This window comes from Homo sapiens, chromosome 17 (genome assembly GCF_000001405.40).
Source record: "Homo sapiens chromosome 17, GRCh38.p14 Primary Assembly".
NCBI classification, from domain to species: Eukaryota; Metazoa; Chordata; class Mammalia; order Primates; family Hominidae; genus Homo; species Homo sapiens.
In genome coordinates, this window is record NC_000017.11 from 43546586 (window position 1) to 43563311 (window position 16726).

Here is a 16726-nt window from a genome sequence, read left to right on the forward strand (position 1 = left end):
ATAAAAAAATAAAACTCGCGGCTGGAGTTCATTCATAAAGAACCGAGAGAAAAAGAGAGAAGCCGAGGACCCCGCGGCTTCTTCACCGTCTCGCCACGGTCTTGGGTCTGATGCGCCGCGTGCTCCTCCGGCTGGCGTCTGCACACGTCTCTGCATCTGCGTGTACGTGGGAGTATGAACATGTCTGTGTGCGCCCAGGAGGGAGGCGACCGGGCTTGTGTGCCCAGAGGAACAATAATAACTAGCATTTATGAAGCGCTCCGCTTCCACGTGCTCATTTCGTTCCCATAACCCGGCGAAATGGATCGTTTGTATCTTACAGATATTAAAAATGAAACTCAGAGAGGGATGGTAACTCTCCTGAGGTCACTCAGCTAGTCAGCACCTCTGGGGTTTACAGCCTCAAATCCCTCACACTCTCCTGTACACCCCTCTGAAGCCATGATTAAATGAGTTAAGCTATGTGACAACTGATACACAGTAGGTGATCAATAAATGTAAACTGGCACAGAATCCAGGCTTTTCCTCAAGGGTCTGTTCTCTGCAGAGCTGTTTTGTGACCCACTTTCTACTGATTGCAGCAGAAACCAGAAGCCCCAGGGTAGATGATTTCCGAAAGTGTAGCTCCCTCTCAGCCATCTTCCCTCTTATCTGAGAGCCAGCAAAAGGAGCAAAAGCCCCAAAGGTTCTGATGATCTGGAGGCAGGATGGGTTTCAGTTTTAGCTAAGAAGCTGGTCATAGTCTCTGTCATCTCATCCATTCACCACTTCTTTCAATAAACATTTATCGTGTCAGATACAGTGCTGGGTTCCAGGCAAGCAGCTATGTCCAAGACAGACATCTGAGGGGACCTGGGGTGCTTGGGCTGTGGCCATGGGGGCACAAAGGACATGAATCCTCAAAGGCCTTTTTGCTGAGACAATTCTCTATGTCTCCAGCCTATGCACTCCTTTGAGGACAGCCTGATTTTTTATCCTGCCTGTTTGTGATAAACACAAAAGAATGTTCAAATGCCAGGCCAGCAGGAGTGGCTTCCCAAATTCATCTAACCTAACACCCGCCACTTTACAGATGAGGCAGTGGAGTTTCAGAGAAGGAAATGACACATGTAAGCTCTTTGGGCCTGTCTGGCCAGAACTAAGGCTAAAACATACAATTGCTGTTTAGTGTTCATAAGGGCTCATTCCATGAGATCTGCTTGTGCAAATGGAAGTAAACTTCCCTTTCTATAGGTGCTGTAATATTCTATAAGGCTCATGTCTATTGTCCCTCTCCTCCAGGAAGCCTTCCATGATAGCCTGAATCAGTTCCTTTAGCCATATACAACATTCTTGACTATATCTCTGGTGTGGATGTTTTTCATCCTGCCTCATGGTATAGACATCCTTATCTATGGAGAGCTCTCCAGAGCTCATTTGCCTCTGAAAGTCCTCCTCAGCCTGTTAGCATGCTTATGAGGGTGGCATGAAATGCTTGTGTAGTGAATAGGTACAATAAAGACCAAATTAATTGAGCTTAGCAGGAACCCTGCCCAAGGAAGGAGAAACAAGCCCAAGCAAATCCCAGCTTTGGGCTGGATGGAACCAGTTTAGAGACAAGTGTGAGTTCTGGCCAAGAGAAGTGGAGAGGAGGACAGAGGGCTCTTCCTGGAAGGCAGCTTTGATGTGGTCTCCATGACAACGAAGAAGAGTCCAGTAGGTCTTTAAGTTGGTACTGGGCACTTCAGTAGGATGGGACCTCTCTAGGGATGCCAGTGCCCCTCTGGTTCTGAGTTTTTTTGTTTTTGTTTTTGAGACAGAGTTTCACTCTTGTTGCCCACACTGGAGTGCAAAGGTGCAATCTCGGCTCACTGCAACCTCCGCCTCCCGGGTTCAAGCGATTCTCCTGCCTCAGCCTCCCGAGCAGCTGGGATTACAGGTGCCCGCCACCATACCTGGCTAATTTTTTGTATTTTTAATACAGACGGAGTTTCACCATGTTGGTCAGGCTGGTCTCAAACTCCTGACCTCAGGTGATCCACTTGGCTTCCTAAAGTGCTGGGATTACAGGCATGAGCCACCAAGCCCAGCCTTTTTTTTTTTTTTTTTTTTTTTGAGAGACAGGAGGGTCTCCCTCTGTCACCCAGGTTGGAGTACAGTGGTGCCATCATAGCTTACTATAACCTCAAACTCCTGGCTTCAAGCTATCCTCCCACCTCAGCCTCCCAAGCAGCTGGGACTACAGGCATGCACTATCATGCCTGGCTAATGTGTTTGTTCATTTGTTTGTTTGTTTTTGTAGAGACAGGGTCTCACTATGTTGCCCAGGCTGCAGGTTCTGAGTTCTTATATTCTTCTGGAGGGCCCCTGGCTCCCTGGTGAGTAAGTGCCCCCTCCACATTCCCAATCCTCTCCAGCCCTGGCAGAGGCTGAGTGGCCTTCCTCCCTCAGGCTAAGAGAAGATACTGCTGCTGTCACTGACCTCTGATTGAATGTCCAGGCTCAAAACAGTGATATTTCCAAGGGGAACATTAGCCTCTTACACCACTGGAAGTAGTTGGTGGGGAGGGTATAGAGGGGCTGGAATTTCTGTTGGGAATCGAGTCACAATAACCGACATGTACAGCCATGCCCTGCTGTAAGTGCATGACCTGCATTAACTCAGGCAACCTCATAACGATCCTGTGAGGTAAGTATTAGGATTTTCATTACCATTTTACAAATGAGGAAACAGAGCCCTCACAAACACACATCTACCCCAAGGCCCCCCACAACAGACTGAGGACCACCCCAAATGGACTCACAGGCATGCAGACACTTTGAACTCACAGACTCACAGGCATGCAGACACAACAGGCCAGATGGAGGCCACACCTGAGCCAGAGATACACAGGAACACTCTTGGATGCAGGACGCTCACAGTCCCCTCCTGGACACACAGCTTCGTGGACACATGCAGCGTACTCCCTGACACCCTCCAGCACATCTTTGGTGGGGGTTGCACAGGTAAATGCTTCTTTCCCGGCTACGCTAGTAGATTGGGGGCTGAGCTCTGACCTGTTTCCCAGGAGCCTAAGTTATAAAATGTAAATGTGAGGCTTTGATATGCAAATGTTCATATAAAGGCAGGCTGTGGCTTGCTCAGGAGACTGGAATATCAGAGCACTGTGATGAGTAGGGAGAGGAAGCTATAGATTCATCTGGATCAGACATCAAGGTGGCTCAGGAGCCATCAGAGAAGCAGGCTTTCCCCAGGGCAGGTTTCAAAGAATGAGCGGCATAGGGCTGGATTTGGTTCTCTGGGTTGGGTTAGCTGGGGACATCCTGTGGGTGACCTATGCCATGTGACTGTGAGAGAAGGATGGAAGTATCCTCAAGGCCTAGCTTCCTCATGGTCTGGAAGAGCTGAGTTCCAGAGCCTTAAAGGGTGGAATCCAGTGGGGTAACCTTGGGAGACAGCTCTGCAAGGTCAGATGGATGAGATAAATAGGGTCAAGTAATGTCCTATGTCCCTTTAGTGTCTCCCAGACTGGAGACACTAGAGGAATGAACCAGACAGAGGGGTCAGGTGGTGGGGATGAAAGATGGGGAGCCTGCGGTCCTCCCCATGGGCTGGTGGGTCAGGATGACCAAAACATGCCACTCTTTGACTTCCTTTTGTCTTGTGTCATTGTCCCCTTTTCACATTGCTTCCTCTAAATTACAGGGCTTCTGGATGATGGGTACGTGGATATGTACCCCTGAAATTAACTGCCTGCACCAAGATGCCTGGTGCACATTTTTCTTTTTCTTATGTATTTATTATTTTAATGTTATAGAACTAAGCAGATTTTTTTTTTGTGGAGGAGGTGCAGGGACAAGTTGTCACTATGTCACCCAGGCTGGAGTGCAGTGGAACGATCATGTCTCATTTGCTGCAGCCTCGACCTCTTGGGCTCAAGCGATTCTCCCTCCTCAGCCTCCTGAATAGCTAGGCCTACAGGTGCTCGCCACCACGACTGGCTAATTTTTAAATTTTTTGTAGAGATGGGGTCCCACTATGTTGCCCAGGATTGTCTCAAACTCCTAGGCTCAAATGATTTTCCAGCCTTGGCCTTCCAAAGTGCTGGGGTTATTATAGGCATGACCCATCATACCCAGCCTGGTTTTTATTTTTTAATCATAGATGTCTTTACAAATATCTTGTCAATATATATCACCTTCAACATGGTTGGAAAGGCACCACTTTTGGAGAACGTGCTGGGGAGGGAGGTAAAACAACTACTTCCCTTGTTCCTCTCCATCTTTTACTCAGCCTGAGATCTCTCTTGAGACTCCAAAGAAATGGGGCTCTCCTTCAGCCTGCTAGCTGGGAGTATATTGGGCTAAAGAGGAAGCGCACAGATAAAGCTGATGTCTTGCTCAATTCCTAGGGGCACCCTGTGGAGGAGGAGAGCAGTCTCCATATAAAAGTTCTAAAGATGAGGACTCTTTTTCCCTTGGGTGGTGCAGGCATTGGACGTCCTCAAGAATCTTGGGAGAAACAGAAGATCAGATTGTCCCAGCCTGACTCATGAAGGATTTCTTCTGGCAGACAGAGCAGACCGAGATGCAGTTAAGAGTTTGAGGTGGGAGGCCGGGCACGGTGGCTCACGCCTGTAATCGCAGCACTTTGGGAGGCCAAGGCGGGCGGATCACGATGTCAGGAGATCGAGACCATGGTGAAACCCCGTCTCTACTAAAAATAAAAAAACTAAAAATGGCTGGACGCAGTGGCTCACGCCTGTAATCCCAGCACTTTGGGAGGCCGAGGCGGGTGGATCACGAGGTCAGGAGATCGAGACCATCCTGGCTAACACGGTGAAACCCCATCTCTACTAAAATACAAAATATTAGCCGGGCGTGGTGGCAGGCACCTGTAGTCCCAGCTACTCGGGAGGCTGAGGCAGCAAAATGGCGTGAACCCGGGAGGCGGAGCTTGCAGTGAGCCGAGATCGCGCCACTGCACTCCAGCCTGGGCGACAGAGCGAGACTTTATCTCCAAAAAAAAAAAAAAAAAAAGTTTCAGGTGGGAGATTCTGGTTCCCTCCTCACCCCCACTTGTGTGTGACAGTGTGACATTCCCAGGAGTAAAAGAATGAACACAATGACCTCTGTGGAGCCAAATCTACAAGGGATTGTTTTAGAATTATTTATTGGGGAAGGAGTGTTACCTTCTGAGGAGCTGTAAATTGAACTTGTCAGGATCCCAGTGAGAAACATCTTAATTTTTTTTCTTTCTTTCTTTCTTTTTTTTTGAGACAGTCTCACTCTGTCGCCCAGGCTGGAGTGCAGTGGCGTGATCTCGGCTCACTGCAAGCTCCGCCTCCCGGGTTCACGCCATTCTCCTGCCTCAGCCTCCCGAGTAGCTGGGACTACAGGCGCCTGCCACCACTCCCGGCTAATTTTTTATATTTTTAGTAGAGATGGGGTTTCACCTTGTTAGCCAGGATGGTCTCGATCTCCTGACCTCGTGATCCACCCGACTCAGCTTCCCAAAGTGTTGGGATTACAGGCGTGAGCCACCGCTCCCGGCCACATCTTAATATTTTTAAACAAGGCTAAATAAATGCATCGTCCTTTCTTCTGGAATATTGTCCCAGGAGGAAATGTTGGAGCCCAGTGCTGGAAGGCTAGCAATCAAGGATGCCCCAAGGAGAGCAAGTTTTATTTTTAGAAGGTGCTGGTGACTAGCTTTTCATACTTGCTATTTGCAGTAGCTCAGGGCTCTCTCCCAAATGCAAAGCATTCCTTGTCCTGTTCTGTCTCCTCCTGTTAGATTTCAACCCTCTCTGCTTCTAGATGAAGCGCCCCAGCTCAAGGACGGGCCCTCTCAGAAAGCTGCAGGATATAACATTTTCTTTTCCTTTTGATTTTTTTCTCTTTCTGTTGAAGAGAGACAAACGGACAAATGTCAGCAGGCTGAAGGATGAGAATGGAATTGGTGCCAGTTGGGGAAAGTCCAGGATGCTCCCCTTTTTAATTAAGTACGGACTTGAATTATGAGGGGCCACAGAGCCTGCTGGGTGGGGCTCTGCTAAGGGAAGGCAATTTCTCTCGTTAAAGATTAAACACGGTTTATTCCACTTAGCCTCTCCTCAGCCCTCTGAGAGTGTCTGTATTTGCTCTTGTTGTCAGGAATAATGGGCAACCGAGTGGACGCCCCAGCTTGATAAGGCAGGGACAGAGACAGTTCTGTCAGCACTGGCAGAAGCCTGGGGACTTGACTCTTACCTGAATCTTTTTGGGAGAATGGTGGTAATGGGTTGGGGGGAGAATTCCTGGTTTTATTTCTGAGATTTTAAAAAAATTATATTTAATTATTATTTTTATTTTTATAGAGTCAGGGTCTTGCTCTGTTGCCCAGGTTGGTCTTGAACTCCTGGCCTCAAGGGATCCTCCTGCCTTGGCTTTCCAAAGTGTTGGAATTACAGGTGTGAGCTAGCACACTGGCCTTGATTTTTTTTTTTTTTTTTTCTAAGAGACAGGGTCTCGCTCTGTCACTCAGGCTGCAGTGCAGTGGTGCAATCTCAGTAGGCAGGTGCCACCACTCCCAGCTAATTTTTGTATTTTTTGTTTTTGTTTTTGTTTTTCTGAGACGGAGTCTCGCTCTGTTGCCTAAGCTGGAGTACAGTGGCACGATCTCTGCTAACTGCAACCTCCACCTCCCTGGTTCAAGCGATTCCCCTGCCTCAGCCTCCCGAGTAGCTGGGATTACAGGGGCACGCCACCACGCCCGGCTAAGTTTTTTGTATTTTTAGTAGAGATGGGGTTTCACCATGTTGGCCAGACTGGTCTTGAACTCCTGACCTCAGGCAATCTGCCCACCTCGGCCTCCCAAAGTGCTGGGATTACAGACATGAGCCACTGTGCCCGGCCGTAATTTTTGTATTTTTTGTAGAGTCAAGGTTTTGCCATGTTGCCCAGGCTGGTCTCGAACTCCCGAGCTCAGGCAATCAAGCCCTGAGCCAGCGTGCCCAGCCTTGTTTTTGTTTTTATCCAAAACACAAACTCTTCTCTCTCACTAGTCCCTGACTGCCCCCAGGCTGTAGGGTTTTCCTGAAACTCAGGGAGCTGCTGCTGTAGATTTATTTTTCTTGTTGATTCTCATCTATCCTACTGGCGACCCCAGCCCAGATTTATCTGGTAATTTACAACCACAGTTGTTAATTAATGATCTGGAGCCACAGAGCACAGAGCCCAGGAAATGATGCTCCTTCTGGGTAGGGGCGTTGCTTTCCTCTTGCTTTGTGGGGACCATATGCCTGGGTGGAGAAGAGGATGGCAGAAAGAAAGGATGTTAGGGGAACACATGCTGAGAGGACATAATACCTAACCAGAGGGGGACCAGGCATTCTGGACCCCAACTTGAGTTTCCAAAATACAGTGTTTGGGCCGGGCGCAGTGGCTCACGCCTGTAATCTCAGCACTTTGGGAGGCAGAGGCAGATGGATCATTTGAGTATGGCAAAACCCTGCCTCTACTAAAAATACAAAATTAGCCAGGCGTAGTGGTGCATACCTATAATCCCAGCTACTTGGGAGGCTGAGGCAAGAGAATTGCTTGAACCCAGGAGGCAGAGGTTGCAGTGAGCCGAGATCACATCATTGCACTCCAGCCTGGGCAACAAGAGCAAAACTCCGTCTCAAAAAAAAAAAAAAAAAGTACAGTGTTTGTATATGCGCTTTACACTTTATTGTTTTACTAAGCCTTTTAAGATATCTTATTACATTTTCCCAGCATTCCTCAAAGTAGGTATATTTAGTTCCATTTTATAGTTGAGCACTCTAAAGTCCAGAGAGTAATTTGCTTTATGTCACCCAGGGAGAGGGAACCAACCAAACCACCCGCTTCAGACTCCCCAGCTCCACGGAGTTCCAGAGATAGTGACTTCTGAGGGCTGAGTAAAGACAATAGCACGTTGTTCTTTCTAGCCTGATCCCCAGTTCTCTGGGATCCTGATCCCACCTGACCCTCCCCTTCTTGACATTTCCTTTTTATGTTCTTCCCCCACCCCACCAAACCCCACTTTCCTGTTAAGAAATGCCTGTTAGGATCTTGTTAATTGTGTATCTTACAATGTGGTTTGGCATTTTCTTAAATTGCATGTCACACATGAATGTCTTCCACAAAGGGAAAACTGATGGAGGGGGGAGCATTTTGCTCCCTAGAAATTGAGAATGTAAAGTATATTTAATTAAAATGATAAATCTGATATTCAGTTTTGTTTTTACTACTACTAAAACTAATCTATTTTATGCACATTTGCAGAAGGCTGCAGCCATCAAATCAGAGAATATTAGAGCTGTGAGGCACCTTGGAGATCTGTCTGGGCCAAATCCTTCATTGTAGAGACAAAGAAACTGAGTCTCAGATTGGGGAAGTGCCGGGGATGCGTGAGTGGCTGAGGTGGAGCCAGGCACTGCGGCTTGTTTTCCTGCGCACCACCTTCTCTCTCTGGCTTCAACTTCTGTGCATCACAGGGTGGGAGTCACCAGGCTCCGACTCCTCTCTCTTTTAATGTCTTCCCCCTCCCCATGCAAACTCATGCTGGGAGGGGGGATGGGCCTCTGGAGCTCCCCTTCCTCACCTCCCCAGGGGGTACTGTTTATTTTCTGTCAATTCTCTCCCTCTGGCTTCTCTGACTCCCGTCTTTTCCCAGGCAGGATCCTTGTTTGGCATGATCATTTGGTGAGATTTTATTATATTTTATGTATTTATTTTTGAGATGGAGTTTCACTCTTGTGGCCCAGGCTGGAGTGCAGTGGTGCAATCTCGGCTCACTGCAACCTCCACCTCCCAGGTTCAAGTGATTCTCCTTCCTCAGCCTCCCGAGTAGCTGGGATTACAGGCATGAGCCACTACACTGGGCTAATTTTTGTATTTTTAGTAGAGTCAGGGTTTCACCATGTTGGTCAGACTGGTCTTGAACTCCTGACCTCAGGTGATCCACCCGCCTCAGCTTCCCAAAGTGCTGGAATTACAGGTGTGAGCCACCACGCCCGGCCTGGTGAGATTTTAAATGGCATTTGGTTCTCTGTTTTCCCCTCTGTCCTTCTACAAGGTAGTAACCAGATCTCTGCTTTTATTGTCCCAGCTGTGCCTGCAGAGTTGAAAACAAGCTATTGAATCCACATTTTAGGTTGCATTTGCTTAAAACAACATTGTGCATTTGCTTAAGACAACATTGTGCATGTTGTAAAACATTTATTTATTTGAATAGATAAGATATCCACATAGCGGCCAGGCGCGGTGGCTCACGCCTGTAATCCCAGCACTTTGGGAGGTCGAGGCGGGCGGATCACGAGGTCAGGAGATTGAGACCATCCTGGCTAACACGGTGAAACCCCGTCTCTACCAAAAATACAAAAAAATTAGCTGGGCATGGTGGCGCGCGCCTGTAGTCCCAGCTACTCGGGAGGCTGAGGTAAGAGAATGGCACGAACCAGGAGGAGGAGCTTGCAGTGAGCTGAGATCACACCACTGCACTCCAGCCTGGGCAACAGAGTGACTCCGTCTCAAAAAAAAAAAAAAAAAAAAAAAAAAAAACCCACATGGCACAAAATTCAAAACTAATGTAGTACTCGCCAGTGAAATTTTTAAATCTCTCCTCTCTCTGTCCTCTAGCAGCTCAGTTTGCCTTCCTGGAGGCAGCCATTATGTTCAGTTTCTGGTGTATCCTTGGTGAGACGATCCATACATGTATATCCAAACCAATTCATACCTCACATACATACATTAATTAATTCCTTCCCCTTTGGTTACAAAACTTCTCCTGCATGATGTTGTCTTGGGGAAGTATCAACAACTGCTTAGTCATGGTTTGGGGCGTGCCAGGTTAGAGGCAATGACCTTTCTGATTTACGAGGTGGTGCTGGCTGCACTCATTTGGGTTCTGTGGGGAGGTGGCTTTGAGTTCCTCGGGGCCCAGTCTGCAGTGGCTATTGGGAGAAAAGGCCCCACCTTCCTGGGCAGAGAAGTGGAGCTTCCACTTAAAGAGGCAGAAGGAGGCTGTCAGAAGAGGGAAGGGTGAGTGTGTGTCTGTGTGCATGCACACACACACGCGTGCAGGTTATAGTAATCACTGTTTCACATCTTATTTTTAAGAAGTCAGAAGGTTGTGGTAAGAAGTGAGAATGAGGAGTCCCCTTTAAGGTGGTCTAAGGTTGTGCCCAAGACAGTTGGCTTGTTCCTTGGGAAATGTCTTTCAGGGCCTGAGGAGCTGGATAAAATGGAGGGAATGACCTAATCCATTTGGTCCAATTGATTTTTTTTTTTTTTTTTGAGACAGAAACTCACTCTGTTGCCCAGGCTGGAGTTCAGTGGCGGGATCTCAGCTCATTACAACCTCTGCCTCCTGGGTTCAAGTGATTCTCCTGCCTCAACCTCCCAAGTAGCTGGGATTACAGGCACACACCACCAGGCCTAGTTAATTTTGGTATTTTTAGTAGAGAAGGGATTTCACCATGTTGGCCAGGCTGGTCTCGAACTTCTGACCTCAAGTGATCCGCCTGCCTCGGCCTTCCAAAGTGCTGGGATTACAGGCGTGAGCCACCACGCCCGACCTCATTTGGTCCAATTTCTATCAGGAATCTTCTTTGTCATCATCTCCCCTAACTCCAACTTCAATACAGTCTCAACAAGCATTTACAGAAATACACTCTGCAAAAAAACATGTGCTAGGCTCAGAAAAATGTCCAGAGGCTCAGAAATGAGGAAGGCCCTTGCCCCTGCCCAAGGAGCCCGCCATCTCGTGATGGCATTATAGGTGTGTGGGGCTATAAGTCTTCAATGTTTTTGTGCAAAAGTCAGGGGCTGCCTTTCAGGAGGAAACAGTGAAGGGTGACGGCTTCGGTCCTGGAATTCCTATTCTTTTTTTCTTTTTTTTTTTTTTGAGGTGAAGTCTCACTCTATTGCCGGGCAGGAGTGCAGTGGCGCAATCTCGGCTCACTGCAACCTCTGCCTCCTGGGTTCAAGTGATTCTCCTGCCTCAGCCTCCCGAGTAGCTGGGACTACAGGCGCCCGCCACCACACCCGGCTAATTTTTGTATTTTTAGTAGAGACGGGGTTTCACCGTGTTGGCCAGGATGGTCTCTAGCTCTTGACCTCATGATATACCCACCTTGGCCTCCCAAAGTGTTGGGATTACAGGCATGAGCCACTGCGCCCGGCCGGAATTCCTGTTCTTTTAAGCCCATGTCTAATGCCATTTCCTCCATGAAGTCTCTCCTGGTGCATTTCTTCTCCCAGGGAACCAGCGCTCTCCTTCAGCTTTGTCAATGTAAGTTGTGAAGAAAGTATTTGTTGGTCGGGCATGGTGGCTCATGCCTGTAATCCCAGCACTTTGGGAGGCCAAGGCAGGAGGATCACTAGGTCAGGAGATAGAGACCATCCTGGCTAACACAGTGAAACCCTGTCTCTACTAAAAAAAAAATACAAAAAATTAGCCAGGCGTGGTGGCAGATGCCTGTAGTCCCAGCTACTTGGGAGGCTGAGGCAGGAGAATGAAGTGAACCCGGGAGGCGGAGCTTGCAGTGAGCCGAGATCGCACCACTGCACTCCAGCCTGGGTGACAGAGCGAGACTCTGTCTCAAAAAAAAAAAAAAAAAAAAAAAAAAAAGAAAGTATTTGTTCATTGGAAAAGATAAGGTCTCTTTCATGATGCTCATCTTCCCCAACCTTGTGTTACTATGAAATCCTCTGTGGATCTGGCTTGAGTCTCCCCACTGTGGATCTGGCTTGAGTCTCCCCACTGGATTAGAAGTTCCTAGAGAGCAGGCTGGGTGCCTCACTTCTGTGCTCCCTGTGGCACCCAAGCCTGCCCCTGGAACAGTCAGGGCTTTGCAAACTCCCTGCTGAAGCTGAATCAGAGGGAGTAGCTTTGTTCAGCCTCTGGAACTGAGTTCACAGCCAAGGAGTGCTCTCAGGAGAGATATGGAAGGACATGTATGGCCTGTAAGCTACAAAGTGCTTTTTTTCAATGACTGAAAAAACATTTTTTAAACACAATATTTTTTGACATGTGAATATATGAGAAATTCATTTTTTTTTCTTTTTGGAGTTTCACTCTGTCACCCAGGCTGGAGTGCATTGGCGTGATCTCAGCTCACTACAACCTCTGCCTCCCGGGTTCAAGCGATTCTTATGCCTCAGTCTCCTGAGAAGCTGGGACTACAGGTGCATGCCACCACGCCTGGCTAATTTTTTGTATTTTTAGTAGAGATGGGGTTTTGCCACATTACCCAGGCTGGTCTCCAACTCGTGTTCAGGCAATCCGCCTGCCTTGGCTTCCCAAAGTGCTAGGATCACAGGAATGAGCCACTGCTCCTGGCCGACAAATTCAAATTTTAGTGTGCAGAGATAGTTTTATTAGGACACAGCCATGCTTACTTACTATTTTAGGTTGCTTTGTGTTACAACAGGACAGTTTAATATTTGCAAGAGCCACAGTATGGCTTGAAAAGCCTAAAATATTTACTCTCTGGCCCTGAACAGAAAAAGTTCGCAGGCAGAGAACCTAATTCACAAATACTAGGAATCCACGTTGAAGGTTGGGCAGCCCAAGGGAGGTGGTCAAGTGTCTCTGGGCAAGGCAGGGGCAAGGGCAGCCCAGCAGGAAGCAGGAAGGGAACTTGCCTAAGGTTGCCCTGCTGGGAAGGGGTAGAGCTAGCCTGTGAACCCAGGCTTGTTTGCTTTCAGAAGCCAAATACCTGTCCACAGCCACAGAAGAGGCCTGGACTTTGGTATTTAAAGGAGAGATAGAGACCCTCCTCACTGAGAGGATCAGAGAAGACTTCTTGGAGGAGGTGGCATTGGAGCTAGCATTGAGGTGGGTAGGATTTGGGTGTGGGGCTAGAGGGAGGATATTCCGGGCTTAGGGAATATCAGGACCAAGGGCAGGAGTCTGGGAAGCACAAGGTTAAATTAGGGGAGGGGGAAGACTCTAGGGTGCGGTGGAAGGGAGTTTTGGGAAGTGGGGAGATAGTCCTTGGAAACCCTTGAGATATTTGCCTTGGAATTTTCTCTTTGGAATCTTGGCTCTGTGGCCCCAGGCCTGATGTCTTTGCCGGCTGGCCACGAAGCTGAGAGTAATTCCAGGCTAGCGTGAGAGGCCCTGGTAGGTCAGAGTGTCTGGTTGCCTAAGCTTTTGTACATCAGTGGCCTTGGACACGTTTTCCTGGATGCAGGCCTGGTCTCGGTGGCAAGGCTTTCCCTGAGTGGAGCCTGGGCTATCTCCCTGGTAGAGATTCCAAGACCTGCCTGTGAATTTTCCATGGGGCCATCACACCCCTGGAACTGAGGAAAGAAAAAGGGGGAAGTGGTTTTCCTTTGCAAGCATGAAGCTGGTGGCTTCTCCTTAGAGGTCCTAGCTGGACCCCATCCTCCCTTCTGGGATGGAGTGGAGGAAATTTTACCTTTGGGAACCTGGGAGGCCAAAGTTCTGGAGATTTAGCAGCTGACATCCCTAAAGGATAAGCCTTAGGCCTCCTGGCAACTACATCAGTGCTTAATAAATGTTTGTGAGTGAAGGAATGAGTGAGTGGGTGCTGGGGGAAGGGGTTTGTCCACAGGGGTGCAAAACAGGCCTCTACCTGCCAGACACTTCCTGTTTAGTCGGGGAGGTGGGTGGGAGGTGGCACTGTGCTGTTATAATAATAACATTTTTCATAACTGAGGTTTAAGCACTAAAGGCAACCCAGGATAGGTACATATCAACAGGAGGGCAGAGGAAGCCACTCCTGGAGGTGTTCCCGTTCTAGCCCACAGAGGCTCTGAGTTCCTGCCCTGCTTAGTGCTGGCTTGTCCTGGAAGTTCCATCATTCTAGGTGCTAGACCCTCACTTGGTCTCTGCTGCTCTCTACTGAGGATGGAGACTTCAGAACCATGACCTCGTGCAGAGGGATCACTGGTATATGTGGGTCTCCTGGGGGTAGAGGAAGGGGGCATTTGTGACCTTGGGTCCTGCTGGCCCCCCTCTGGGAGTTACAAAGCTTACTTTCTCTGCTCAGACAGGGCTGGGGGAGTGAGTTGTTCTTTTTGCCCAACCCAATTTCAGCAACTGCATGTGAGGGAGAACCACGGCAGCTTTGAGTCACACTCCTAGTGCCCTGCTTGTCCCATGGTAGGAGGGTGTCTGCTCATGCCTCCAAGTCACTCACTTCTCCAGGGCTCTGTAGCCCACCCCTCTTCGCTGGTCCCCTCAGGATCTCAAACTCTGGAGACCTCAAGTCATTCAGCTTTGACCCTGCTCTATTCCCTCTCCCAGGGCAGGCCGCTGCTACAGGGAAGGGAGCCCAACAGAATCGTCTCTGTGCAGCTTTGCACCATGGAGTCTCACCCAGCCCTCTATATTATTGTACCAAAACCTGGAGGCTCAGAAAGGTTAAGTGACTTGCCTGACTCACACAGCCAAGAATGGCAGTTGGAGCTTGAATGCCTGTGAACTTCTGTCTAGTGTATCAGTAGATTCAATGGACTGAAAACAGGAGACCTGAGGTCTGACCCAGACACCCATGTCCAGAGGCGCAGGGCAAGGAGGCAGAGGCTCAGTTGAGGAATCCTAGTTCCTGATAACAGAGATGACAGCTAAAGTCAGAGAAAGGAAGTTAAGAAAGAAAGGGATTGCTGGTGGTGAAGCTCTGGCTTCTCTATGCCTAGTGGCTGTTGATTCAAGATGCCCTCTGTGGCCGAACCTTTGGGGTCAGGTGAGGAGGAGGATAGGGCCTTAATTTAGACAGAACCCTTGGGCCCCTGCCTTCCAGTGGAAATACCAGGGTAATGGAAACTGCAAATAGGTGTTATACCTGGGGTTTCAACTAGGGTTCCAAACAGGAATATTCCTGGGGCTGGGGTAGAGGGAGGAGGTAGTTAGTAATTATTTCCATTTTATTCATTTATTGAGCAATTGCTACATGCCAGGCACTGTGTTAGGAGATGAGAATACAGGGTCAACGACAGTCAAGAACAACAGCAAATCTTTCATCGTTCATCATGTGCCAGGCTAAATGTTTTGCATGTGCTACTCATTTATTCCACATCATATATGTGTACAGCGTAGAGAAGTTTCTTTCTAACTTCTCTGTTAGAAAGTTTCTAAGTGTCTGGGCGCAGTGGCTCACGCCTGTAATCCCAGCACTTTGGGAGGCCGAGGTGGGTGAATAAACTGAGGTCAGGAGTTCGAGACCATCCTGGCCAACATGGAGAAACCCTGTCTCTACTAAAAATACAAAATTCGCCAGGCGTGGTGGCGCATGCTTATAGTCCCAGCTACTCGGGAGGCTGAGGCAGAAGAATCGCTTGAACCTGGGAGGCGGAGGTTGTGGTGAGCTGAGATGGCACCATTGCACTTCAGCCTGGGCAACAAGAGCGAAACTCCTTCTCAAAAAAAAAAAAAAAAAAAAGAAAGAAAAGAAAGTTTCCCAAAGTCACAGAGCTAGTGAATAGCAAGGGGAGTCAATGAGTAAGCTCAGGCCAGCAACCCTGCAAATCAGATCTCTCTCCAGCAGAGGTGTGCTCTGAGTGTCCCAGGGATTTGAGAGAGGGGCTCTGCTTGGGGAAGTGGGGAGGCAGCATTTGAGCCAGTCCTCATGGGATGAATGAAATTTCTTCCTAGGAGAGGGGAGAAGGTTCCAGGTTTAAAGAAGCAGCATTTGCCAAGGTGTAGGAGCCAGAAAGGAAATCCTAGGGGAGAGACAAATTTGGGGGTAGTCCTCAAAATTCCTACCCTCAGGCTAGGGAGTGTGAGCATTTTGAAGACCTTGTTTAGGAGCTTGTATTATATCCTATAGATCATGGGAGTCACTGGGGTCGGGGGCAGGGTGGCGGAGCATGGGTAGGTTAAAGCAATTCTGACTGAATCAGACCCTAGGCAAGAGGAAGGAGGTCACTGCCTTGGAATCTTCAAGAGTCGCTCATCCCTGATCCTGTCCCCCTTTTGCCACATAAGATGTGATGCCATCACTCAACTCATCATTCACCAACAAGCTATGGGGCCTGGAACCTTTCTATGCCTCAGTTTCCTCATCTGTAAAACGGCAATACTAGTAGTACCTGCCTCAGAGACCTGGGTGTGCAGGTAAATTGAGATGCTCTAGGGAAGCTCAGGCTTTCAGTAAGGGATCAATAAAGGCTAGTTCCTGTTATCAGATGTTACCTCCCCACCCTGTCCCGGGTCCAGTCAGCATCTCGAAGTCCTGACTCTCAGGAATGCCCCCACTCCGCCTACCAGTCTGATCTAAATCCCTCTGCTGCAGATGGAGCCCAGCTTCCCTGACAGCCTTTCAGGACGGGAAGCTCCATGTTTAGTGTTCCCCACCCTCGTCCAGCCTCTCTAATCTCAGCTCTTCCCTTTCCCCTCCCCTGTGATTATCATAAACCCTCTCGAGTTAGGCAGGCTTGGCTGGGCCCCATGCCCCTTTGAAGTCCCAAGCCAGGTTCCCAGCCTCACACACTGACTTCTGAGAAAGCTGCTTCCCATCAAATCCTGCCGCCAAAAAGACTCTCCTCTTAGGTATTCCTGCCAACTCCGTTTTATAATCTCCGTGCCGGGGAGGGAGGACAGTTCAGGCACTTTGTCTGCAGGAAGGAAGCAATTAAATTATTAGCACTTTGAGAAATTAAACGACATAACTTACGGCGGAATAAGTTTAGCCAAAAAAAAAAAAAAACCTTGTAATGTGAGAAAACAATTAAAAAGAATTATATAAGGTTGGGCTCGCTCCTTTATTGC

General features: G+C 48.6%; 3 annotated features.

The window, feature by feature from the left end:
* Positions 21–180: an enhancer, noted in NCBI's record as "active region_12244". NCBI's record gives its function as "activates an Ori minimal core promoter by ATAC-STARR-seq in GM12878 lymphoblastoid cells {active_cell/tissue: GM12878}" and the evidence as "EXISTENCE:reporter gene assay evidence [ECO:0000049][PMID:35858748]".
* Positions 8063–8563: an enhancer, noted in NCBI's record as "H3K4me1 hESC enhancer chr17:41632016-41632516 (GRCh37/hg19 assembly coordinates)". NCBI's record gives its function as "activates a minimal SCP1, AML or CMV promoter by ChIP-STARR-seq in naive H9 embryonic stem cells {active_cell/tissue: H9 hESC(naive)}" and the evidence as "EXISTENCE:reporter gene assay evidence [ECO:0000049][PMID:30033119]".
* Positions 9991–10060: an enhancer, noted in NCBI's record as "active region_12245". NCBI's record gives its function as "activates an Ori minimal core promoter by ATAC-STARR-seq in GM12878 lymphoblastoid cells {active_cell/tissue: GM12878}" and the evidence as "EXISTENCE:reporter gene assay evidence [ECO:0000049][PMID:35858748]".